Raw genomic sequence first — 23,280 nt, 5'->3', positions numbered from 1 at the left:
CTCTGCTCATCTCATCTCAACTACTTGGCCTTCCGTCCCCACTCCAGCCACACCAGCCCCCAGCTGGGCCTAGAGCATGTCAGAAATGCTCCCACCTTGGGGTCTGGAAGCTTCCCTCTAGATATCTCCATGGCTTTCTTTCTCAAAGTCTAAGGTTTTGCTTACATAGCACTTTTGTATGAGGCCTGTCCTGACCTCTCTTATTATTATTATTATTTTTTAGATGGAATTTCCCTCTCCTTGCCCAGGCTGGAGTGCAGTGGCGTGATCTCGGCTCACCACAACCCCCGCCTCCTGAGTTCAAGTGGTTCTCCTTCCTCAGCCTCCCGAGTAGCTGGGACTACAGGCGCGTGCCACCACGCCTGGCTAATTTTTTGTATTTTTGGTAGAGACGGGGTTTCACCAGGTTGGCCAGTCTGGTCTCAAACTCCTGACCTGAGGTGATCTATCTGCCTCGGCCTCCCAAAGTGCTGGGATTATAGGTGTGAGTCCCCGTGCCCAGCCTTGACCTCCCTATTTTGAATTGTACCCCTCCCCGCAGTCTTCCTCCTCTCCCTTTTTCTGCATTACTGCTCATTTCCCTCCAGGACATCATCTCCTACACCCTGTAATTTACTTATTTATTTTGGCTGTTAGTTAATATCTGTCTCCCTCACTGCAATCTAACACCGTATTCACTGAAGTCCCCCAACGGAGTGAAGAACGTGCCATCCCCAAATATGCCAAATTGGCATAGTGATTATTTTGAGCTGTAAATATTGGAGAAATTGTAGTTTTAGAAAGGGCGAGCTGACCTGTCTTTTCCTGTATGCAGTAAGCCATAAAGATTCCTCTCGGAGGTCCCTTCTCTGGATGAGAAATTAGCTCTTATCTTCACAGACTGGGAAGTGAGGCTGCAACAGACCTGAATAAATAAACTTTCCAGGCTGGGTGTGGTGGCTCACACCTGTAATCCCAGCACTTTGGGAGGCTGAGGTGTGTGGATCATATGAGGTCAGGAGTTCGAGACCAGCCTTCAGAGACCAGCTCTGGCCCTCCCGGATGCCTCTGTCTGCCCCCGCTTCGGCTGCTGCGCTGTGCCAGCAGGTCCCGCAGGGCTTCACATTCCTCACTCAGGTCTTCCATTCAAGAAATGTTCATTGACTGATACTGAGCAGGCCACTGGGGTGAGTGGTCAATAAGACCCAGCCGCCACACTGAAGTAAAGTTGGTGGGGAGACAGACCACAGTCACGCACCATACAGGCCATGATGGGCAAATGTCAAGGGTGTACGGGGCAGGGGCATCACAGCTACGGCACCCAACCCAACCTGCAAGGTATAGGAAGGATTCCTGGAAAAAGGAACCACTAAGCTAAGACCACAGGGCAAGTGAAGCTCAGCCAGGCAAAGGGAAGACGTGGGCCCAAGCTGACTAGAAAGGCCCAGAGGCCATCATAAGACACTGGGAAGGGGAGGGGCCGGAGCAGTGCACAGGGGCCAGACCACGAGGGTGGGCAAGGGGGTGGGGTTTATCCATCTCAAAAAGAAAAAAAAAAGATAAATAAATAAAATATGAGTCAAATGCATGATGGATTAAGCTGCTTTATTTACTATAAAGTCTGTACACATATGAGCAATAACTATTACTTCCTCTTTTATTAATGTATTCTTTCTGGCTTCCTGAAGGACGTCTTCACTGGGATGTTCTGCCAGGAACTTAAACCCCAGCCCTGGTCTCCCCTGCGTGGCCCCTGACTTCCCAGCTCTGCCAGTGGCACCACCATCCGCGTCGCTCATGCCTCCTCCTGTTCTCCTTCCTTCCTAATTGCTCTGAAACCTCACCCATTTGCCCCCGTTCCCCAGCTATCATGCTCTTTTCCTGGACAGACTTCTGGTCAAGCTGCTGGCTTGCTCAAAGACCTTTGTTGGCCGCGTGGCCTAAAGGGTTAAGTGAAACCTCCTACCTGGGCACTGGAGGACCTGGCCATGCTGCTCTCCCCTTCACAGTTGACCTAGACTTGGGACAAGCTGGATTCCTGAGAATCCGTGTTTCCTGCCCCTGTGCCTTTGCTCAGGCTGGTCTCTCCGCCTGGAGCGCCTTCCTTCATCTCTGTTTGCCCCAGCCCCGCCTGCCCTGTAAGGCCCAGTCTCGACACGGCTTTGCTGCAGGAGGGCTTTCTCGATGTGCTTCGGGGCAGGCTGCCTCCACCTTTTGGAACCTTTTGCACGATCTTCTATTTTGGGCGGTATCTGGCGCCGAGTTGAGTGTTGGATCATGTCATTTGAAGGCCATCCTACCGAACTGTAAGCTCTTTCAGGGCACGGGCTGCGTCTTGTCCCTTTCTATGTCCCTTGTAGCCTCAGCATGGGGCCCGGTTTCACTCAACCCAAGGGTGACCCGGCATTTCAGGTTCAATGCAGAGCGGCCTGACAGGCACACTTCCTGCAATGGCCACAGGATGGCAGCACAGACCGGGTTTCGGCACCTAGGCGCGCCTCCCGCACCCACCGCACTATTCAACGTTTCTCGACCCTAGTGGAGTACCCGGTCCCCTGGAGATGTTGTGCAGGAGGGTCCCCTCTCTAGGGCTGGGGGCTTTAGGGCTGGGGAAGAGGCACCAGGGGCAGAGCCTCTGGACCCCACCTGGAGTCCTGTAGTGAGTGCGTTTCCTCCCCTTCCCAGCGGCCCCTTTTCCAAGAGAGAACTTGCGGAGGGGGGAGGGGGTGGGGGGTGAGGAAGGAGCACTAGGGAGGGAGTCGGCGGGTTTGGGTCCTGGTTCTGTGCTGCGGTCCTGGGCAGGTGTGGTGTGTAACGGGAAAGGGCCTGTCACAAAGCGTGGCAAATGTGCTCGTGGCAGATGCCCACGAACGTTTGTCTCCCTGTCCTCTGGCCTCCACCTCCCCTGCAATTTTCCCAAAGGCAAAATGATGGGTTGGACAAACGATAGGAAATGTAGCCACGTTCGCTGCGCATGGGGCAAGGTGGGGGTGGGGGTGGGGTTTCCGGGGCACCAGATCGCTCTGCTCCCATCTCAAGGCCCCTGCTTCTGGAGGCAGGGTTAGCTCCACGTAGGCAGAGGAAACACCCCGGGTTTCTTAGGATTCTTGCTGTGTGACCTTGGGAAGTCCCCGCACGCCTCTGGCTGCAGCTGCCGCCTGTGAAAGAAGGGGCTGCACTTCCTGGATGGTGGAAGGTTGCTAAGGTAACCACAAAGTGCCCGCTCAGCAGCAGCTGCCGTCATCATCATAGTTATTATTATTAGGGTTTCGTCCTGTGCCAGCATTTGACAATTCTAACCCCACCTGGAGGCCTGCTAAGAGAGCAGGCGAGGGCTGGTGATCATTTAGGGATGCCTAAAATGTTTGCAGGGGGAGCAGGAGAGAGGAAGGACAAAGGATGTTCATGAGGGTCAAAGACCTGGGTTTGGGGCTTCTCGGGGCGAGGGGGTGCGGAGGGAGGGCCCCAGATCGCGCCTTCTCCCTTTAGGTCTGGTCCCGGGGTGGCGGCGCGCGTGCGCAGGAGGAGGCCGTGGGCCCGGCCAGCAGAGGGCGCCGCGAGCACCACGCCCGGGCTTAGCTGTGCGGGGCTCCGCCTTGCTGCGCAGTGGGCAAGCCGGTCTGGCTGCGATGGGGGAGGGCTACGCTGGGGAGCTGCGGGTAAGGGCAGCTGTCACCGTTTTCAGTTGTTGGTCGGTGTCCTGTGTGGCATTGTGGGTTTGCCTGTAACCACCACATGTTCATTCATTTAACTAGCACGATCAAGCACCCACAAGTTTCAGCCACTGCTGGGAGTAAAGAGGGGAACGAGGTGCATGCCCGGAGAACCCGCACCCACCATCCAGGTGACAGAGGTCAGCCCAGGGCTGGGGGAGCTTGGAGGAGGAGCCGCCTACCTGGAGAGAACAGGCGAGGCAGACAGAAGGCAGGAAGCACAGAGAGCCCGCTCGCAGCTTGGCAATGTGGGGAGCTGAACAGAGCAAGAACTGTTTGGGGCCATGCTCTCGAACACTGGCCCAGGGCCGGCGATGTCGAAGCCATGATGAATCCAAGGCTAAACTACAGCAGACACAACGGCTGTCCCTAAGGGGGTTATAATTGCGTGCGTGCGTGCGTGTGTGTGTGTGTGGGTGTGTGTGTGTTGGGGGGGGCGCTGGGGGTGGGAGGCTGGGGCGTGTAGGCAAATACCAGGACTGGAAAAAGTAGAGTCCTAGGATCTCGACCCTCCTAGGCCGGCGGGGGTGTCTTGCTGCCTCCCTGTGAAGGTAGATGGGCTGCATGGGGGAAGGAGGGCCAGGTATGTGAGTGGGGGAGTGGACAGAGGGGTGGGGTAGGAACCAAGGGCAGCAGGGAGTCCAGGTGGGAGCAGTTGGGACGGGGATGGAGCAGACAGTCTGGTGGGAGAGTGAGGGGTGGGGGGGACAGTGGGGAGAGGGTGGCAAAGACTGCTTGAGCCTCTGAGCCTCAGTTAACTCAGAGGAGGTTGGCATAACACAGAGGGCAGTAAGGACAGGGACAATGGGAAAAAAAAAATAAAGTGAAGACCATCTTGGTTCCATTATGAGGAGTAGAGTGCCTGGATCAAGGAGGTGATGATGGTTCCATGTGTCCTGGGTAGGTCAGAGAGCAGGACCTGAGAGCATTAGAACTGGTGGCAGCCTTTCAGGCCATCTTATCTGATTCCTTTCTTTTATATATAGGGAAACTGAGGCTCAGAGAAGGGAAGGAAAGGCTACTCCCCCCAGAACAGAGTTCAGCTCTTAATAGCACTTTTTTTTTTTTTTTTGAGATAGCATCTTGCTCTGTTGCCCTGGCTGGATTGCAGTGGCTCAGTCATGGTTCACTGCAGCCTTGACCTCCTGGGCTCAAGTGATCCTCCTGCATCAGCCTCCTGAGTAGCTGAGCCTACAGATGCATGCCACCATGACCGGCTAATTTTTAATTTTTTTGTAAAGGTGGGCGGTGGGGGCGGTCTCCCTATGTTGCCCAGGCTGGTCTCAAACTCCTAGGCTCTAGCGATCCTACAGCCTCAGTCTCCCAAAGTGCCAGGATTACAGGCTCAAGCTGCCGTGCCCCATCCTGGTGGCACATTTTAAAATGCAGAACACTGACTGATAGGATCTTTTCTGGAAAAGGTCAGCTGGGGATAAACCATGTCATTGTCACCACCTCTGTTATCACCACTGAGTACCTAATGTGTACTAAGCACTTCCCAACACTATCCCTCTTACATGTGCAGCCCTGAAGTCAGAGGAGAAAATGGAAGTTCAGAGAGGTTAAGTAAGAGACAGACAACACAGCCGGTAAGGGCTTGAGCTGGGATTCACATCCAGCGTGCCCTCCTGCCTACCCTGTGTGAGGGCCTCTGCCAGGGAACAGCCAGTGAGGCTGTTATAGGGTGAGGGGCTGTGCTGGGGGCAGGGAAGCACCTCCATCTGTGTGTATGCCTCAGGAGCCTGTGGGCAGGGGAGGCATCAATTTCATCTCAGAATGAACTTTCCAGCTAGCAGAGCTGCCCAGTCATACAGTGGGCTCTACTAAGGAGCAGAATGTGCTCTGTCTCCTCCCAGGACAGGCAGTGGCCCCCTGTTGCCCCAGAGCATGAGCAGATGCCTTAACTTTGCAGATCCACCCAGCATTGGAGGCTCTGTCTGGCTCAGCCCCCTTCTCTCTCCAGCTCTGCCTCACCTCCTCTCTCCATCAACCTCTGCATTCCTGCCGGTCAGTCCTTCTTCCAGCCACTTTCTGGATACACTCCTCAGCTCTGGAACTTTGCACATGTGGTTCTTCCACCCTGTCGGCTAGACGACCCATTCTCAGGCCACTGTAAGCCTTCCATGACACTCAACAAGGTCAAGTCGCTGCCCATATGTGATGCTCAAGTGGCTTCTCTGCCCCTCCAAATATGCCTCATCACACCTTGTGAATGATTTGTTAGTCACTTCCATGAGGGCGGACTGCTTTGCATGTTCTCAGGTGTTTCTCCAGCACCTGGCACCGCACATTGTGTAGTGCTCAAGAAGAGTTTGCTGAAAGAATGAATAACGAATGAAGTTAAGAAAGAATGATGAAGTACTCAAGGCCAAATGCACGGGGGAAGGGACTTAAGTCAGCTGACCTTCACATCCCCTCCATCATCTTTTGGCCATAGTTCATGGTCTTTGATCAATTCCCCAGGGGTTAGAGATTCACAGCCACAGTTAGTAAACATTTAAGCTCTGTCAGGTGTTTTCTCACCGATGGAATAATAAGCAAGGGCTGGGCGTGGTGGCTCACGCCTGTAATCCCACCACTTTGGGAGGCCTAGGCGGGCGGATCATCTGAGGTCAGGAGTTTGAAACCAGCCTTGTCAACATAGCAAACCCCGTCTCTACTAAAAACACAAAAATTACCCAGCGTCGTGGGTGCCTGTAATCCTGGCTACTCTGGAGGCTGAGACAGGAGAATAGCTTGAACCCGGGAGGCGGAGGTTGCAGTGAGCCGAGATCGTGCCACTGCACTCCAGCCTGGGCAACAGAGCAAGACTCTGTCTCAAAAAAAAAAAAAAAGAAAAAGCAGGGACGAAGTGAAACTTTTTCAGTGGATACTAGCTTGGAGGCGTCAAGCCCTGCCTGGAATACTTTGCGCGCTGGTCGTTGCCACACCTGGCTGGACCAGCAGGGCCTCTCTTGGAACCCACGAGAGCTTTTGCTCACCGGATCTGGGCTCCCAGCTGCGCTTCCAGAAATGGCCACCAGGTGGTGGCAGAAGCTAAGAGTCCGGCCTTAGGGCGCGCCGGCCAGCCCCGGACCACCGGCAGGGGGCGCTGCTGCTCCGCCAGGTGAGCGGGTGCAGCAGAGGTGGGCCAGGAGTACCTGCTGGGCTAAGGGGCGCTGGGTCTGTCCCACCAGGAGTGGGTGGAGGAGGAGGTCCTAACAGCAGCAGGGAAGGAAGGCTGGGTGGCCCCTTTACTCTTCTTTGTACAGTGGGGACTTGACCCCTACTTCATGGGATTTATAGAAAAACTGAAGGTCTGTAAGGCCTCTATCGCAGCCACTCAACGCTGCCCTTGTGGTGTGGGACAACCCGTGGGTGCGTGGGGGTGGCTGTTCAGATGTCACAAAACGCAGCTGTCCCTCGGGTTCCATGGGGCTTTGGTTCCAGGACCTTCTACTTAATACTAAAATTTGCAGGTGCTGAAGTCACTGCTATAAAATGGAGTAATATTTGCATATAACCTACGCACACCCTCTGTATACTTTAAATTATCTCCGGATTACTCAGAAGACCTAATACGATGTAAATGCTGTATAGATAATTTTTTTTTTTTGAGACGGAGTCTTGCTCTGTCGCCCTGGCTGGAGTGCAGTGGTGCGATCTTGGCTCACTGCAACCTCCGCCTCCCAGGTTCAAGTGATTCTCCTGCCTCAGCCTCTGGAGTAGCTAGGACTACAGGCACACACCACCATGCCTGGCTAATTTTTGTATTTTTAGTAGAGACGGTGTTTCACCATGTTAGCCAGGATTGTCTTGATCTCTTGACCTAGTGATCCGCCTGCCTTGGCCTCCCAAAGTGCTGGGATTACAGGTGTGAGCCACGTGCCCAGCCGCCATAATTGTTATACTATATTGTTTAGGGAATAACCACAAAAAAAAGTCTGAACATGTTTAGTACAGAAACAATTTTGATTTTTGGAATATTGTCCATCTGTGGTTAGTTGAATCCATGGATATGGAGGATCGACTGTATTGTTCTTCTTCCTTTCTTTATTTTATTTACTTATTTTTTTGAGACGGAGTTTCGCTCTTGTTGCCCAGGCTGGAGTGCAATGGCACGATCTCTGTTCACCGCAACCTTCACCTCCTGGGTTCAAGCGATTCTCCTGCCTCAGCCCCCAAGTAGCTGGGATTACAGACATGCGCCACCACGCCCGGCTAATTTTGTATTTTTAGTAGAGATGAGGTTTCACCATTTTGGTCAGGCTGGTCTTGAATTCCTGACCTCAAGTGATCCACCCACCTTGGCCTCCCAAAGTGCTGGGATTACAGGCATAAGCCACCATGCCTGGCTGTCTTCTTCCTTTATTTTATTTATTTTAGAGACAAGATCCTATTCTATTACCCAGGCTGGAGTGCAGTGGCACGATCATAGCTCACTGCACCTTCAAATTCCCGGGGCTCAAATGATCCTCCCACTTCAGTCTCCACAGTAGGTGGGACTACAGACACACACCACCATGCCTGGCTAATTAAACATTTTCTTGTTGTTGGGTCTTGCTTTCTTGCCTAGGCAGGTCTCAAACTCCTGGCTTCAAGTGATCCTCCCGCCTTGGCCTCTCAAGGTGTTGAGATTACAGGCACAAGCCACTGCACCCAGCCTGTTCTTTTGATTTTTAAAAGAACTACCTAAAAATGTGAAAATCATTCTTAGCTCTTGGGGCCACACAAGACAGACAGGCGGGCTCTGACTAGGTAAAGTCTCACACCAGTGCCTGACTGCTAATAGGTGCCCAATTCATGGCAGGTGTTGCCAGCCCACCCAGGAGCTCACAGCCAGGCTCCATGGCTCCACCCTCCTGCCACCCCTGGAGTGGGGGTGGGGGGTGGGGGGTGGGACTCTGTCCTTCCGACTGTGGCCCCTGGCTGTCTTCCACTTTGTAGAAAGCACTCAGTGAAGGTTAGCTGTCATCTGTCCTCCCTGGCTGCATGTCCACACCTGCAGGCCTCTGCTCTTGCAGTCCCTCCTCCTGGTGAATCCCCTGTCCTTGACATCTTCCAAGAGACCACCACCATAATCAAGACAGAGAACATTCCCTTCACCCCAAACACGTCCCTTGTGCCTCTTCCCAGTCGACCCTGACTTAAAAATAATCTCCCGATTACCAAGTGCTTGCAGGGTGTCAGGTGCCACAGGGGCCCTAGGCCAGTTGGTCTCACTGAAGCCTCTGGGACCTGGTGACGTGGGGGCAGTTGTTACAGGGGGTACCTTAGGGCTGAGGGCTCTGAGGCTGGGGGATGGGAAGCAACACGGCCACGATGGGCAGGAGGCAGAGCTGGGACCTGAATCCAGGCACATCTCTTAGCCACTCTCCTGCCCTGCCTGTCCCCCAGCCCTTCGTGTTCCTAGGGCCATGTTTCTCACACCTCCTTTACTCCTGGCTAATCTGGGTGTGGCCTGGGACCCGCAGCCTTGGCGTCCGCTGGGAGCTGGTGGGAAATGCAGAGTGTTGGGCCAGATCCCACACTACTGAGTCAGCACCTGCTGTTCTGAGGCTTGGAAGCTCTGTCCTGAGGCAGGCTCTTCCTGGGAATTGGTGGCCGTGTCTGCATCCCCTCCCCTTCCCTGCTCACTGTGAGCTCCTGGTGGGCAGGTGCTCAGCTCTCTGGTGCTCACTTTGGGGACTGGCCCTTGGCCCCCTGAGAATCAAAGTTAAATGAATAGATGAAGGGAAGGGCAGGTGGTCAGAGCTTTGGGTTGAGGGTGTGGGGGTGCAGGGCTGTGGTGCTCAGGAGCTGGTGGGAGGAATGGGGCCAGGGGCAGGGGCCGGTCTAGTCACCTGTTTGGAGGTCTGGTTCTTCACTCACTCTGGCTACTGCCCAAGTTGACTCAGGGAGTCTGTGTTCATTTGCATACCTTTGCATGTGGTTAGCATATCTCTCTGGTGCAGTACGAGGCGCAGGCTGGATTGTGGAGCGGAGAAGGTGGACAGGACAGCGGGTTGGGGGCGTTGGGGGCTTTAGGGCTGCAGATATGTTTCTTGGAGCAGGTCTGGAGTTTGAGCACCCATCCTCTTTGGGTGAGGAGAGAGGCCTGCTGGATCCTCCTGGCTCTGGGTACCTGCTGGGGCTGGGCAGTTCCCACCTCCCTGCCTTCGCTCCTCAGTGGCCCTTTCCTGGAATGCCCTTTCCCCTGTGTCCCTGTGACAACCTTGTGATCTGGGTGCTGTGATCTGGGTGCTGGTTACACAGTTGGGTTCAGTCTGTGAAAATTCACTGAGTTGTACAGCAATTATATGTGCATTTTTCTGCATAAAAAATGGAAAAAGACCAGAACTAACTTCCAGGAAGAGTCCCATGCCTATTCCACAGCTGGGAGCCCTCCCCAGGGTGCCTCTCTTCCCCCTGCCCACCGTCTGCGGTGAAGGCCCTGGTCAATTTCAACTCGACTGAGTTTTATTTATTCACTCTCCTCTCCCCCTGGACTGTGAGCCACCCGGGGCAGAACCAGGTCCTGTTCATTCTTGTGTCACGTCCTATTAATTCTTGTGTCCCCCTGACATGGGACCTGGCACAGGGCAGGTGCTGAACCCATGGGTTCGACCTCACCATCTCTGGGGTGCTCCAGGAGGCCTGGGGCACTGACCACCTGGAGGGGGCATTTCTCCTTACTACCGCCACCCCCAAGCACACAAAAGGCCAGCATTACAATGCCCCTGCTGTGGCCCAGGGCTAGAAGTGGGACTCAAGGGTCCCTGGGTGGGAGTGGGTGTGGGGCACGGCCACCGTGTGGTCCTCAGTGCCCTGCCCTCCCCTGGTTCTCTCTAGCCCGGGTGGCACCTCCTCTTGTCTGTGGTTCATCCCCGGCCTTGAGGCCATCTGGGTCCCTGCTGAGTTCCTCTTCAGGCTTGGGGAGGGGGAGGCAGAGGCCTGGCTTCTCTGGACTGGGCCTGCATGCTGAGTGGCTCTGGGCCTGCCTGGCCTGGCCCTGCCTCATCCCTGCCAGCCCCTCCCTGCCCTGCAAGTTGGGGCCTCCCTGCCACCTGAGTTACAGAGACCTGTAAGCGGGCACACAGCCCCCTCCCCACTGTCTAGAACTTGGCAGAGGAGGACTCTGGGCAATGGCCTGCCTCTCTGGCCTCAATTTCCCTTTTCTGTAAAATGGGGAAAACAATTCAGGCAGCTGCCAGGTCAGATCAGTCAGAGGGTATGGGAGACCTCGGCACCCAGGCGTGTGCAGAGCAAAAGCCTGCTGGGTGTGTGTGGGGTTCGTGAGGGCGCTCTTCAGCTGGGCTGGGGTCTGCACGGTGGAGCAGGTGAGGGGGTGGGAACCTTGTTGGGGAGAGCACAGGAAAGTCAGGGCCTGAGTTTCGGCCCAACTTGATCCTAACTGGCTGCAAGCCCATCCCTCCTGGGCCTCACTTTACTTTTTTGTAAAGGGGGTCCTGAGTGAGATTGTCCTTCAGCCCACATGAGCTCCAAGGCTGGCTGAATGCCTTGCTTTCTTTGGCCTGCACAGGGTGTTATTTTGGAATTAGTTTCCAAATATGAAGCATCAGGAGGCTTCCCATACAAATCCAGAGTTCTAGCTTCCTGGGTGCAAAGCGAGAAGATCCGGCCTCCTGGGATTCCCTGTTTGCAGGCGGCAAGTGGCACAGTAGCGGGGGAAGGGGCCCTCGGTTCTCCCTGCCCCAGGGCCGACCCTCCTGCTGCCCTGCCTAGGACCCTCAGCTGCTGGCCACCCAGCCCCACACCCAGTCCTCTGGTGGCTGGTGCACCTGTGTGGGCAGGCCTCTTCTGTTTTGCCACCTTGCAGCTTCGGAGGGCAGGTCTGGATCAGACTGGCATTAGCTCATGCGCTTATCCAAAGCACACAAAGCAGAGATCTAGGTCTCAGCATTTCCTGGGGGTGTCCGGAGCCGTGGTCAGGGCCCAGAGACCGTGTCTGTGTGTGGGGTGCTGAGTCGCTCCTGCTGGGGTTCAGTCCTTTCCTTCGCCCTTCACTGGCCCCCATTCCATGTCTCAGCCTGGTCGCAAGGCCCTCAGAGACTGGACCCTGCTGTCTCTCTCTCTCTCTCTCTCTGTCTTTTTTTGAGTAAGCAGAGGGGTGTTTATTGACCTTGAGACAGGGGAGCTCTCGCCCTGTGTGGGAGGCCTGAGGGGCTCCAGAGCCCTGGGTTTCTTCCTTGCTTGAACAGAGGTGGTCCGGAGTGGTGCGTTGTGTGGCCCTGGCTCCGTGTTAAGTTAATGGCTGGGTAGGACGGAACCCTGGACTCCTGCCCCTGGCCTGTGTTCTTCCTGTGGTTCCAGGTTCAGAACAGCAAATGGCAAGGCCCCTGGCTCTGAGGCCGGGTGGTTTAAGGAGGTGGCGATGTAGGGAATGTGGGTTTGAAGGCCCTGGGCCCAGGTAACAGGATGAGTCCAAGCAGGGATTCCAAGTCTGCCGCAGGGACCCGCCCGGTGCCAGAGTCCCCTGACAGGGAAGCCCCCGCCTCTGCCCCACCACATCCTTCCCCTGAACGCGCGGCTGCAAAACCACACTGGAATTCCCGAGGGTCAGTGCCGAAGTGGTCCCAAACTGAGGAGGACACTATGCATGGGGACAGAGGAGGGGGCCATGGGGTAAGGGGGACAGGAAAGGCCATCACAGCAGGGCCCAGAGGGGAACTGACCCAGGCTGAGCAGGAGTCCCAAGGAAGGGCCCAGGTGCTGCCTGCCACCAGGACCCCCGCATTACAGAGGCCTCTCTTGCAACAAGAAAGCTTGGAACTCATAGAGGTGTCCAGAACCTCCACATTCCAAATGATGGTATCATTCTTGGGGCAGGAGGGAAAGGAGGCAGAGCCTGTTCCCCACTCTCACTTTCCCAGATGCCACAGGGACCCAGACTCCCTGTGTCTCTCATATCCCGAGACGCAGACCCTGTCAGGGAAGGGGCATGTGGCAGCGGGGCAGGCATGCCTGTGCCAGGCTGGGGCCACCAAGCACTGGTGGCAGCATAGACCTTGGGGTCTCTCTGTGCACAGCAGGGCCACCAGCAGGGCCAGGGCAAAGGTCTTCATGGTGTGGGAACTGCTCATTCTCGCTCTCTCTGGCCGGGCTGCAAGGCAAGTGGTCCCTTCCCCTGCCCCGCCATCTTTTGGCCTCACCTTCCTCCCTCCCCATGGAAGGCCCACACTCCTGTGTTCCTTGTGGCACTGCCTGGTCACAATCTCAAGTCCTCTTCCTTTCTTCCCTACCTGCACCCCCCACCCCCTAATTCAAGCCTCGGCGTCTCCACCCTCCCCAAGCCATCCCTGCCCCATCAACGAGGGCCAGCTCTATGCCCCTGATGACCTGCCAGCCTCCTGAGCCAGGCTGTGCACTCTCTGACTGCCAGGCCAGCCTCTGTCCTGCTTCCCCTACTTCCTGCTCAGAGCCGGTCATGCTGAGGCTGCGATGGAGACCTGGGAGCAGGAGGCAGCAGGGGATTCCTTGGGCTGTGGCTCTCATCATTGCTGAGAGAGGGAGAAAGGGCCCGGCCATTCCTGACCACAGCCCTGGGCTCCTGCACTCAGCCGGGCACTCACTGCATGCCAGCCTCAGACAGGGCAGTAGGGCCGCCTGGATGTGTACTGAGCCCTTCCAGCCAGGGCTTCAAGGCCGGGTCACAACTCCCGGCTCAGTGCCCAACTCCTCAACCCCTCAGCATCCACCTGCCCAGCTCATGACAGGGAGGACAAAACAAAGGAGGCCCCTGTGGGACTACACAGGCCAGCTCCTGACACTATATAGGTGGGGAAACTGGGGCCCAGAGAGGGGCGGTGACTTGTCCAAATTCATGGGCCCAGAGCTGGGCTCCTAGGCCTCTCTCCCGGGCGGCCTGAGTTAGGCCGTGGTGCCGTCAGTCCCGGAAGGTTGGGACACCCACGGCAGTACCTGACTTGCCGGGGCCCAGCCTCCAGCCCACAGCCCTGCTTTGAGCAGCAAGGGAGGCTGCCCCGCCCCCAGCGTCTCCTCCTGCCTGACTGAGTTTCCCAGAGCCAGCAGAAAGGCAGGGCCGATGCAGGTCTGAATCCGCCCAGGGATCTGGCAGTCCCAGCTGGCTTGCCCTGCCCTCGAGCCCTGGGAGCGGGAAGTGAGCCTCCCCACCTCAAATCCTCCACCTTCCCTGCCACCCACACCTTCAGCCCGGGGCCCAAACATGGCAGGGAGCCAGGCCCCTCACCTCCCTCCTTGGTAACCGAGGCAAACACCCAACACTGGAGACTGTTTGTCCTGCCAACGCTGCACCCCAACCTGAGCCCAGACGCCCTGCCGCAGTTGGGAGAAGCCTGGCTGGGGGAGGGGACGTGGCAGGGGCAGCCAGAACCTGTGGGCTTGGGGACCCTTCCCCTCCACTCCAGTTCCCCAGGAGCTTCTGAGTGAGCACAGGGCAGCGGGGCTGTTGTCTCAGCACCTTTGACTGTGAGGCCCCCAACCTCAGCCTCTGCTCCACCCCTAAGACTGTGCGCCCGGAAGGTGGAGAAGGGCTGGCTGGGGTGAGAGGGTCTGTGCTTGAACTACAGCAGAGAAAGAGAGCAGAGGGAGAAAGTTCTCTCTGGCCAGCCCAGCTGTGGGAGGGCTCAGGGAGGGAGGCCAGTGGGCCCTTTCTTTGCAGGCAGGGAGGGATGGGAGATTCTACCAGCGCCAGACCTGGGGGGCTCTGCCTCCTGATCCCCAGGGTCTGGGTGGGCACCGTGAGGCACTCCAGCGTCGCGTTTGGGGGCTGGCTGGGTGGGCAAGGAGGTGGATGTCAGGGCCTGGGGAGGCTGGGGTAAGGTGGCGCCAGGAGGGGACGGGCAGTTTTTCTGGCCTTCACTGGCCTGTGGTTTCCGCAGTGCAGGGCATGGGACTGTGGGGCGATGGAGCAAGGAGGATGGAGTTTCTGTCCCTGGGAAGCCTCTTGTCTGAGGGGAGACATGCCCCGAGCCTTCAGGGACCGCCTAGTCGGAGGGGGAGACACAGCCCTTGTCCTGGGGAGTTTGGAATAACCGTATTGGGGCCAGGGACAGAGGATGATGGAGTCACCCTGCTCTGCATGGAGCACGGGACCACCCGGCCTCACGGGGCTGGGCAGACGCTTCTGTTTCTTCTGCATGGAGCACGGGATCACCTGGCCTCATGGGGTTAGGCAGACGCTTCTGTTTCTTAGGAAGAGGTCTGTTTGCTTCTCAAATGCTTCCCGGGAACCTCCTCCACCACTGCAGCCCTGCACTGTGGGCAGGAATGTCACTAGCCCCCTTTTACGGATGAGGAAACTGAGGCTCAGGCATCTGGGAAAATGTGCTGTGGGCAGCCCCCCCGGACAGAGCTGTGCTGGCACCCTCCAGACAGTGCAGGAGAAGGGCAGGTCCCACAGAGTCCCTGCTGTTCCCCCAAGTCCTGAGGCCAGGGGGTGCTGTCTCTACTCTCAGTCCCCTGCCAGGACCTGTCCCCTGGTTCAATCCCAGGCAGGCCAGCGGGGAGGGTGGGGTGGGAGACTTGGTTCTGCTGAGGCTGCAGCTTCCCTGGCCCACCTAGGCTGAGTCAGGGCTGGGCAGGAGCCGAGGGCAGCAGCTTTCCCAGGGCCAGCCCGGGCGGCGTCCGCATTCCTCACTTGCAGGGTGCGTCTGGGCTTGGCTGAGCCAGGTGTGCTGTGCCCCACCCAGGCCCCCGCCTGCAGCTGAGCCAGCTCAGCGCTGGGGCCTTGTAAGGAAGCTTCTGGCAGCCACCAGGAACGGGGTGTGGGAACTGCTTGGCTTGCATGTCCTTGCTGGGTGGGGTGCAGGCTGGGGGAGATCAGCCTGCTAGAGCCCAAGCTCCCACAGTGGCCAGGGCAATTGGGGTGCCCACTCCTCACCCCCTCCTCACACTCTGCTCTTGCCTCTGCAGTTGGAGAGCTGGAGGCCGAGGCCCCAGGCAGTCTGTGGTTTGGAGCTTTGGTCTTGGTCATTGCTCAGTAGATGCTGGGGGCAGAATGAAGGATGTTCTGAGAGCTGAGGTGGTGGTGAGGGCCCCGCAGTGGCCAGGAAGCAGCAGAGGGACACGTTCTGTTTGCTGCCTCCAGCCTCTAAGGGATGCCTTTGTCCTAAGCAGCTTGGAGCTCTGTGCCAGATGGGGCCCTGGAGTAGAGGCTGTGAGTGCGGACTTGTGCCCATGGGGTGCCCATCTCTGGGGACTGCTGCTGACACCTTGCCACTTGGCCCTGTGTCCCCCACACCCCAGCTGGGCTGTCTGCACTGGCACCTGGGTCTGGAAGGGGTCTATATGGGGTTGGCCAAGGTCAGTCCTCACCACTTACTGCAGTGAAATTCTTCCCACAATCCACTTCCTCTCTTTGGGCCTCTGTTTTCTTTCCTGGAAAGTGGGGGTAGGAACTCCCTTTCCCAATGTCCCTGGGCGCTTTTTGTTTTTCACTTAATTAAAATTTTTTTTTGTTATTTTTGAGATAGGGCCTCACTCTGTCGCCCAGGTTGGAGTGCAGTGACGCCATCACAGCTCGTGCAGGCTTGATCTCCTGGGCTCAAGCGGTTCTCCCACCCCAGCCTCCTGAGTAGCTGGGATCACAGGTGCACACCACCAAGCCTAGCTGAATGTCCCTGGGTTCTTGGTGGATGGAATGTGACCATGAGACTGAGGATGTGTGTTGGGAGCTGAGATGAGCTGTGCTGGGACCTGCATCTTCTCCACCACAGGACCCCCCAACTTAGCGCTGTAGCTTCTCCATCACTGTCTGTGAGTCTGGCAGGGCCCCTGGATGGTGATTGGGGAAGGAAACTTCAAGTTTGGGATTTGGGGACCTTGCTCACTGTTTAGCCTCTTCCTGGAGGGCTACTGGTAGAGCCAGCATTTCAATCACACCAACAACCACCCATGGGGGACCTCCTTGCCTCCCTGTTGCCCAGTTCTGAGGCCTCAGCATTTCTGAGCACAGCCCAGGGCTGGTCCCCTCTGTCATGCCTCGCAGCAGGTAGGGCCAAGCTGTTTCCTGGGAACCTGTGATGGGCCCAGGGTGGGCCCAGGGTGGCTTGGTCTGCAGAAATCACTTCCCAAGCCTTGGTGGGAACCAGCAGTTCCTGGCCCTGGGCCCAGGGTGGGCGTGGGAATTCTGTCCTGCAGGGAGGACAGGAAGGGTGACAGCAGGGCTGTGGGAGCAGAGGCTGAGGGATGGGGTGGGACACTGGTCCTGGGCATCTAGCGTAGCCTCCACGGTGAGGGCGGCAGGCTGAGCTCCAGGCAGCTGGGTTGGGGGGCAGGGACCAGAGCAGGTGCAGCCCCCTGGCCCCACCTAGCCCCTTGCAGAGCAGTGGTGGGCAAGCCTGGCTGAGGTGTCCCAGGCTGGGGCAGAGACCCCTTGGCTCCTCTTTCTGGGGGCAGCTCCTCACTTCCCCAGCTTTCTTTGGCTGAGCCCTGGGGCTGGCTCTGGGGTGCCCCATTCCAGGGGCTCTCTGGGGACCTTGGCTGCTTTCCCTGCTTCTCTGTCCAGGGCCTTGTGGCAAGAGGATAGAACTTTGTCCTGGCTGGGTGCTGCCTGCAGTGGAAGGAAGTGCCTCAGCTCCTGAAAACCCTGCTCTGTGTCTGTGTCCTGTGGTTGAGGATGGCTTTGTGTGTGTGTATGTGCATGTGTGTTGATGGCGTGTGTGTGTGCATGTGTGCAGACATGTGTTGCTGGGATGTGAGTGTGTGTTCATGTGTGTTGGTGGGGTTCATGTGTGTGTGCATGCATGTGTGTTGGGGTGTGTGTGCAGTGTGTGTGTATGTGTGTGTATGTGTGTGCATGCGTGTGTGTTGGTGGGGTGTGTGTATGTGTGTGCATGTGTGTTGGTAGGGTGTGTGTCTGTGTATGTGTGTGCATGTGTGTTGGTTGGTGGTAGTGTGTGTGCATGCGTGTGTTGGTGGTGTGTGTGTGTGTTGGTAGGGTGTGTGTTTGTGTGTGTGCATGTGTGTTGGTTGGTGGTAGTGTGTGTGCATGCATGCGTGTGTGTGTGTTGGTGGGGTGTGTGTGTGCATGTGTGTTGGTGGGGGAGGCACTTGTTTCTGTGGGGTGGTCTTCTGGACATTCGCACTGGCGTCCCTGTAGTTAGAGTCTGAACCCTGAAGGATTCTGGGAGCTGGCACTGGGAGCTGGGCCCAGGGCAGCCTGGGACCTAGTGGGAACAGGCGAGAACAGGCTGGTACTGGCTGGCGGGAGCGGCAGCAGCTGGAATGTGTGGGCTGCCCCACCCTCCCTCACCCAGGAATGGGCCCTCGTCGCGGAGCCAGGACCCAGCCCCTTCGCCCAGCTGTCCCAGCTCTGCCCCACCAGGCCTCCTGAGCCCCCGTTCCCTCCTGTGGGGCTCCCCCACTGCCCTCGCTCCTGGCTGGGCTGGAGCCAGCGGGCCAGCTGGGGCGGGCTGTCTGGGAGGAGCTGGCACTGCTTCTTCAGGATCCCAGGTCTTGGGGCCGTGTGTTTCCAGGTCTGCACAGACCGACCCTCTGTCACTTACAGGGGCCTCGTTGTGATGAATCAGGGAAGAACGTGGCTGTACCTGTGGGGGGTTTCCCTGGACCAGTGGTGGGCTCCTGGGCCTGCTCTGCTCCTGGAATGGAGGCTGAGGACCACCTGCCCTCCTGCAGGTTTTGGGTACAAGCTGTGTGCCTCTGCAGAGCAGCTGTGTCCTCTCCTGTCCTGTGCAGTTAATCAGGGCTCCCTGTGGCTTTCAGGAGCAAGGCCCCGCTCCCTCGTGTGGCACGCAGGGCCTCTCCCAGGTGGGCCTCTCCCAGGTGGGCCCCTGCTCACCTTGCCAGGCCCAGCCCCCACCCCCTGCCTTTCCAGCCAGCTCCCCTGGCCTGGGACATCTCATGCTTCCCTGAGGGTGCCCCCTGCCATGGCATGTGCCCATCACCCTGCCTGGAAGGCCGGCATCTCCTGTGTCTCCTGCTGTGCTGGACCTGCTCAGATCCTTTCCCCACCTGTCCTGCCTTGAGGCTGGGTCAGGGACCCCTCATGGGCACTCCCACAGGCCAGCCTGCACAGGTCTCCACGGTGTCTCGTGAGGTCCAGGAGCTCCCCAAGATCAGGGCCTGCTGTGTGTCCCCTGTCATGTCCCCAGGTCAGGCTCTCCCACGTATGGGCTGGGGAGTGAGAGGATGAGCTAGTGAGTGGGTACAGGAAGCCCGGGGAGTTCCTCTGAGGCCCAGTCCTGGCCCCGATTCTGCTTCCTCCAGTCCAGGAGGAATATCCCTCTACCTTGGGACTGGGGTCTCCTGGGAACATTCTAGAAATCTCTCTTGCAATCAGGGAGGATACAAGCCCCTCCTCTTTCCTGATGAGGATGTAAGATTAACAGGCCAGAGTGGCAATGGCGTCTTTGTGTGAGTGTGTAAGGTGTGTACCCGTGAGAGGTTGTGTGAATGTGAAAGTTTGCGCGTGTGTCCATGAGTGGGTGACAGTGTGGACATGAGTCTATGAGTGTGAGTGTGAGTATGGGGAAGTTTGTGAGTATGGGGAAGTTTGTGAGCATGTGCTGGTGTGTGTGAGTCTGGGAATGTCAGTGTATGTGTGTGAATGTACATGTGAGCGGCACGTGAATGGGTATGAGTCTTTGAGTGTGTGTCAGCCTGTGAGCATGTGCCTGTGTGTGAATCTGGGAGTGTGAGTGTGTGTATGAGCTGTGTGTGAACGTGTGTGTGAGTCTTTGTGTGTGCATGTGTCTGAGAGTGTCAATGTGTGTGTGAATGTGTGTATATGAGTCTTTGAGTGTGTATCTGTGAGCATGCGCCTGTGTGTGAATCTGGGAGTGTGTGTGTGAGCTGTGTGTGAACGTGTGTGTGTGAGTCTTTGTGTGTGCGCATGTCTGAGAGTGTCAATGTGTGTGTGTGGATGTGCCTGTGAGCTATGTGTGAATGTGTATATAGGAGTCTTTGAGTGTGTGTGTATCGATCTGTGAGCATGCGCCTGTGTGTGAATCTGGGAGTGTGAGTGTGCATGTGAACTGTGTGTGAATGTGTGTATATGAGTCTTTGAGTGTGTGTCAGCCTGTGAGCATGTGCCTGTGTGTGAATTTGAGAGTGTAAATGTTCGTATGAGCTGTGTGTGAATGTACGTGTATCAGTCTGTGTGTGTCTGAGAGTCTCAATGTGTGTGTGTATGTGCATGTGAGCTATGTGTGAACGTGTGTGTATGAGTCTTTGAGCATGTGTGTGTCAACCTGTGAGCATGCACCTGTGTATGAATCTGGAAGTGTGTGTGTGTGTGTGTGAGCTGCGTGTCGATGTGTGGCTTATCCTGCAGGAGTGCTGACCCGGGACTCCGGGCGGTAAAGAAGCCTGGGTCCAGGCTCTCCCCTTCCCCAAAGCCACAGGCAACCCCAGAGACACTCAGAGCCCTCTGCATTCTGGGGGTTCTGGGGGCGATCTGGGGAGCTTGTAGGCTCACTTTGCTCCACTGAGCGATGAGTGGTCTTTCCACATTCTAGAGAGGGCTCGGAGGCCTTTATTTTGAAAAGAGTAATACTGAATAGATTCAAAATAATATTTACAAAATATGTGTAGGATTTAAGAATGAAGGCACTGCCGGGCGCTGTGGCTCACGCCAGTAATCCCAGCACTTTGGGAGGCCGAGGTGGGCGGATCACCTGAGGTCAGGAGTTCGAGACCAGCCTGGCCAACATGGTGAAACCCTGTCTCTACTAAAAATACAAAAATTAGCCGGGCGTGGTGGCAGGCGCCTGTAATCCCAGCTACTTGGGAGGCTGAGGCAGGAGAATCGCTTGAACCCAGGAGGTGGAGGTTGCAGTGAGCCGAGATCACCCCATTTCACTCCAGCCTGGGCGACAAGAGTGAAACTCGACCTCAAAAAAAAAAAAAAAAAAAAAAAAGAAAAAAACAAAAAAAGAATAAAAGCACAACAAACATCCGTGAATCCACTGCCCAATTTTGGACATTTTAGCTTCGATGTGCGCCTCGCGCTCTGCCCGCAGTGTAACCGCTAGCCTGGATTTGGGATTTGATTCCTTGCTTTCCTTTACAGATTTGAAGTCCTTCCCCCAGGCCCTGGACGGGGAAACTCAGGACTCCTCTCCGGGTAGAGTCTGGCAGCAGTCGGGCCAGAACAGCTCAGTGCTGCCCTCTGGGGGCGAGGCCGCGGCTTCCTCCTGCTCAGCCCCAGCCTGGGTTGGAAGGAGCCCACCCAGCTAAGCGTGGCGAGACCCGACAGAGGGGTGGGCGCAGTCACTGCCCACACACCTGCAAGGCACGCCTGGACGCACATCCGCATGTGGCCATGCACAGGTGTGCACACGGACTTTACCCTCGTTCGTTTGTATTATGTCCCCCGTTGGTGTCACACCCCGCGTGGGAAGCCCAGAAGCCGCTGCCGCTCCTCAGGAGTTGACAGGAGGGAGAGGTCCCCGCGGGTGGAGCGTGTCTGCTCCAGGGACCCTCAGACTCGGGGCCGGGCAAGCTGGAGGGAAGGCTGGTTTTGGGGTTAGCAGTTTATTAACAGAGGGACTTGAGCGGGTGGGCGTGGGGGAGGGACACGTGCCAAAGGCAGGGAAGGGCTTTTTTGAGATGGAGGGATGGGGGATAGGGGGTGATACACAGCGCAGGCCAGCTTCAGAAGGGAATGTTGTGTCCATGCGCCTGGAGGCAGAGGCATGGACACACGGCCCAGCCGGGGCCTGGTGCTCTGGCTGTTAAGGGACTAGAGACGGTGAAGCTGAAGATGGCGAGGAGGAGCCAGGACCCTGGGGGAGAAGGAGTAGTTTGCAGAGCGCAGGTGGAGGATGGGTCTCCAGGGTCCCTGCATTCCTCCCGCGGCCTCGCGGGCTCCTCTCGGGACTGCAGCGCAGAGGCGCCACCCAAGATGGCCAGCAGAGGGCGCTCCTGCTACAGATTTGGGGATCCCGGGCGGCCGGAGCGTGTCCCCGTTTAACAGGGCATGAGCCTTGGAAGGCGGCTGGGCCTGGGGTCTCCATGGGGAGCACTAGAGCCTGCCCCTTGGGAGCCACCGAGCACAAGAATGAGGAGAGACGACCTCATGAGGTGGGAACCCCACAGGGTTCCATGCATCCTTTTCTGCTGCTGCCGGGTCAGGCATTTGTCTGGTCAATGCTTCCATCCTTTTGTCCCAAGGTGGTGCCTTTTAAATCACCCCCGGAGATGTGACTGGCCCGCCTAACCTGCCCTGGAGGTCTTCCTCCAGGCCAGGGGTCTGTTAGGGCCAGCTAGCCTTTCTAGAAAGTTCCCTGGGTTCTAGCCCCTGCAGCTTCCCTGGTGGCCCCTTGCTCCTGCTTCCTGTCCCTGCCTCTGGGAGGAGGACTTGCTTGTCTGGTCTCCTTCCTCACCCTGCCTCATCCAAGGAGGCTTCTCCATCGCTGCCGGTGCATCCTGCAGTTCTGAGGACCAGACGCACCCTTGGTCTTCTGCCGTAAAGAGTTACGGGCGTTCACGCAGCTGGCGGGTGAACACTGCCAGGTCCCCTGCTTGGCTTGAGGTGTGGCAGCCGCCATCAACTACTGGGGGAGGCGACTAGGGAGGAGAAAATCCCTTCGGTTGTGAATTCTGCCTTCCACCTCCCAGCATCTCCACCTGGACAGAGGGACCACACACTCAAGCCATTTACTCATTGATTTTTAAATTAAATTAAATTAAATTTATTTTAAAATTATTAAATTTTAATTATATATTTATTTGTAATTATATTTAAATAATTAAATCTGTTTATAATATAAAATTATAAAATTTAATTTATAAATTTTAAATTATTTAAAATAAATTAAAATTTATTTTATTTTATTATTATTTTTTGAGACAGAGTTTCGCTTTTGTTGCCCAGGCTGGAGTGCAATGGTGTGATCTTGGCTCAGTGCAACCTCTGCCTCCTGGGTTCAAGCGATTCTCCTGCCTCAGCCTCCAGAGTAGCTGGGATTACAGGAATACGCTACCACGCCCGGCTAATTTTTTGTATTTTTACTAGAGACGGGGTTTCTCCATGTTGGTCAGGCTGGTCTCGAACTCCTGACCTCAGGTGATCTACCCGCCTCGGCCTTCCAAAGTGCTGGGATTACAGGTGTGAGCCACTGCACCCAGCAACATTTATTTTATTTTATTTTTATTTACTATTATTATTTTTCAGATGGAGTCTTACTCTGTTGCCAGCCTGGAGTGCAGTAGCACGATCTCGGCTCACTGCAACCTCCACCTCCTGGGTTCAAGTGATTCTCGTGCCTGAGCCTCCTGAGTAGCTGGGATTACAGGCACGTCCCACCACACCCAGCTAATTTTTGTATTTTTAGCAGAGACGGGGTTTCACCATGTTGGTCAGGATGGTCTTGATCTCCTGACCTTATGATCTGCCCGCCTCAGCCTCTCAAAGTGCTGGGATTACAGGCGTGAGCCACCGTACCCGGACATATTTTATTTTTTGAGACAGAGTCTGGCTCTCTCTCCCAGTCTGGAGTGCAGCAGTGTGATCTTGGCTTGCTGCAACCTCCATCTCCTGGGTTCAAGCGATTCTCCTGCCTCAGCCTCCCGAGTAGCTGGGATTACAGGCATGTGCCACCACACCTGGCTAATTTTTGTATTTTTAGTAGAGTCAGGGTTTCGCCATGTTGGCCAGGCTGTT

At 56.5% G+C, this 23,280-nt stretch overlaps 1 long non-coding RNA gene across 1 annotated transcript, besides 13 other annotated features; it reads left to right on the top strand.

Annotated features, from left to right (window-relative positions):
• Positions 2,110–2,339: an enhancer, noted in NCBI's record as "active region_12169". NCBI's record gives its function as "activates an Ori minimal core promoter by ATAC-STARR-seq in GM12878 lymphoblastoid cells {active_cell/tissue: GM12878}" and the evidence as "EXISTENCE:reporter gene assay evidence [ECO:0000049][PMID:35858748]".
• Positions 3,210–3,339: an enhancer, noted in NCBI's record as "active region_12168". NCBI's record gives its function as "activates an Ori minimal core promoter by ATAC-STARR-seq in GM12878 lymphoblastoid cells {active_cell/tissue: GM12878}" and the evidence as "EXISTENCE:reporter gene assay evidence [ECO:0000049][PMID:35858748]".
• Positions 3,370–3,887: an enhancer, noted in NCBI's record as "H3K4me1 hESC enhancer chr17:39821965-39822482 (GRCh37/hg19 assembly coordinates)". NCBI's record gives its function as "activates a minimal SCP1, AML or CMV promoter by ChIP-STARR-seq in naive and primed H9 embryonic stem cells {active_cell/tissue: H9 hESC(naive and primed)}" and the evidence as "EXISTENCE:reporter gene assay evidence [ECO:0000049][PMID:30033119]".
• Positions 3,400–3,639: a silencer, noted in NCBI's record as "silent region_8496". NCBI's record gives its function as "represses an Ori minimal core promoter by ATAC-STARR-seq in GM12878 lymphoblastoid cells {active_cell/tissue: GM12878}" and the evidence as "EXISTENCE:reporter gene assay evidence [ECO:0000049][PMID:35858748]".
• Positions 3,760–3,849: an enhancer, noted in NCBI's record as "active region_12167". NCBI's record gives its function as "activates an Ori minimal core promoter by ATAC-STARR-seq in GM12878 lymphoblastoid cells {active_cell/tissue: GM12878}" and the evidence as "EXISTENCE:reporter gene assay evidence [ECO:0000049][PMID:35858748]".
• Positions 3,888–4,407: an enhancer, noted in NCBI's record as "H3K4me1 hESC enhancer chr17:39821445-39821964 (GRCh37/hg19 assembly coordinates)". NCBI's record gives its function as "activates a minimal SCP1, AML or CMV promoter by ChIP-STARR-seq in primed H9 embryonic stem cells {active_cell/tissue: H9 hESC(primed)}" and the evidence as "EXISTENCE:reporter gene assay evidence [ECO:0000049][PMID:30033119]".
• Positions 8,816–9,315: an enhancer, noted in NCBI's record as "H3K4me1 hESC enhancer chr17:39816537-39817036 (GRCh37/hg19 assembly coordinates)". NCBI's record gives its function as "activates a minimal SCP1, AML or CMV promoter by ChIP-STARR-seq in naive H9 embryonic stem cells {active_cell/tissue: H9 hESC(naive)}" and the evidence as "EXISTENCE:reporter gene assay evidence [ECO:0000049][PMID:30033119]".
• Positions 14,466–22,323, top strand: LOC124904004 (uncharacterized). Its single transcript, XR_007065756.1, has 2 exons — positions 14,466–16,409; positions 20,686–22,323. It is a non-coding gene; the product is annotated as an uncharacterized LOC124904004 (long non-coding RNA).
• Positions 14,655–15,351: an enhancer, noted in NCBI's record as "H3K4me1 hESC enhancer chr17:39810501-39811197 (GRCh37/hg19 assembly coordinates)". NCBI's record gives its function as "activates a minimal SCP1, AML or CMV promoter by ChIP-STARR-seq in primed H9 embryonic stem cells {active_cell/tissue: H9 hESC(primed)}" and the evidence as "EXISTENCE:reporter gene assay evidence [ECO:0000049][PMID:30033119]".
• Positions 15,352–16,050: an enhancer, noted in NCBI's record as "H3K4me1 hESC enhancer chr17:39809802-39810500 (GRCh37/hg19 assembly coordinates)". NCBI's record gives its function as "activates a minimal SCP1, AML or CMV promoter by ChIP-STARR-seq in primed H9 embryonic stem cells {active_cell/tissue: H9 hESC(primed)}" and the evidence as "EXISTENCE:reporter gene assay evidence [ECO:0000049][PMID:30033119]".
• Positions 20,950–21,059: an enhancer, noted in NCBI's record as "active region_12166". NCBI's record gives its function as "activates an Ori minimal core promoter by ATAC-STARR-seq in GM12878 lymphoblastoid cells {active_cell/tissue: GM12878}" and the evidence as "EXISTENCE:reporter gene assay evidence [ECO:0000049][PMID:35858748]".
• Positions 21,350–22,225: an enhancer, noted in NCBI's record as "H3K4me1 hESC enhancer chr17:39803627-39804502 (GRCh37/hg19 assembly coordinates)". NCBI's record gives its function as "activates a minimal SCP1, AML or CMV promoter by ChIP-STARR-seq in primed H9 embryonic stem cells {active_cell/tissue: H9 hESC(primed)}" and the evidence as "EXISTENCE:reporter gene assay evidence [ECO:0000049][PMID:30033119]".
• Positions 21,458–21,617: an enhancer, noted in NCBI's record as "active region_12165". NCBI's record gives its function as "activates an Ori minimal core promoter by ATAC-STARR-seq in GM12878 lymphoblastoid cells {active_cell/tissue: GM12878}" and the evidence as "EXISTENCE:reporter gene assay evidence [ECO:0000049][PMID:35858748]".
• Positions 21,648–21,797: an enhancer, noted in NCBI's record as "active region_12164". NCBI's record gives its function as "activates an Ori minimal core promoter by ATAC-STARR-seq in GM12878 lymphoblastoid cells {active_cell/tissue: GM12878}" and the evidence as "EXISTENCE:reporter gene assay evidence [ECO:0000049][PMID:35858748]".

This window comes from Homo sapiens, chromosome 17 (assembly GCF_000001405.40).
Source record: "Homo sapiens chromosome 17, GRCh38.p14 Primary Assembly".
Lineage (NCBI taxonomy): Eukaryota > Metazoa > Chordata > Mammalia > Primates > Hominidae > Homo > Homo sapiens.
Note: the sequence above shows the minus strand (reverse complement) of the source record. Positions and strands in the feature narration are given on the sequence as shown.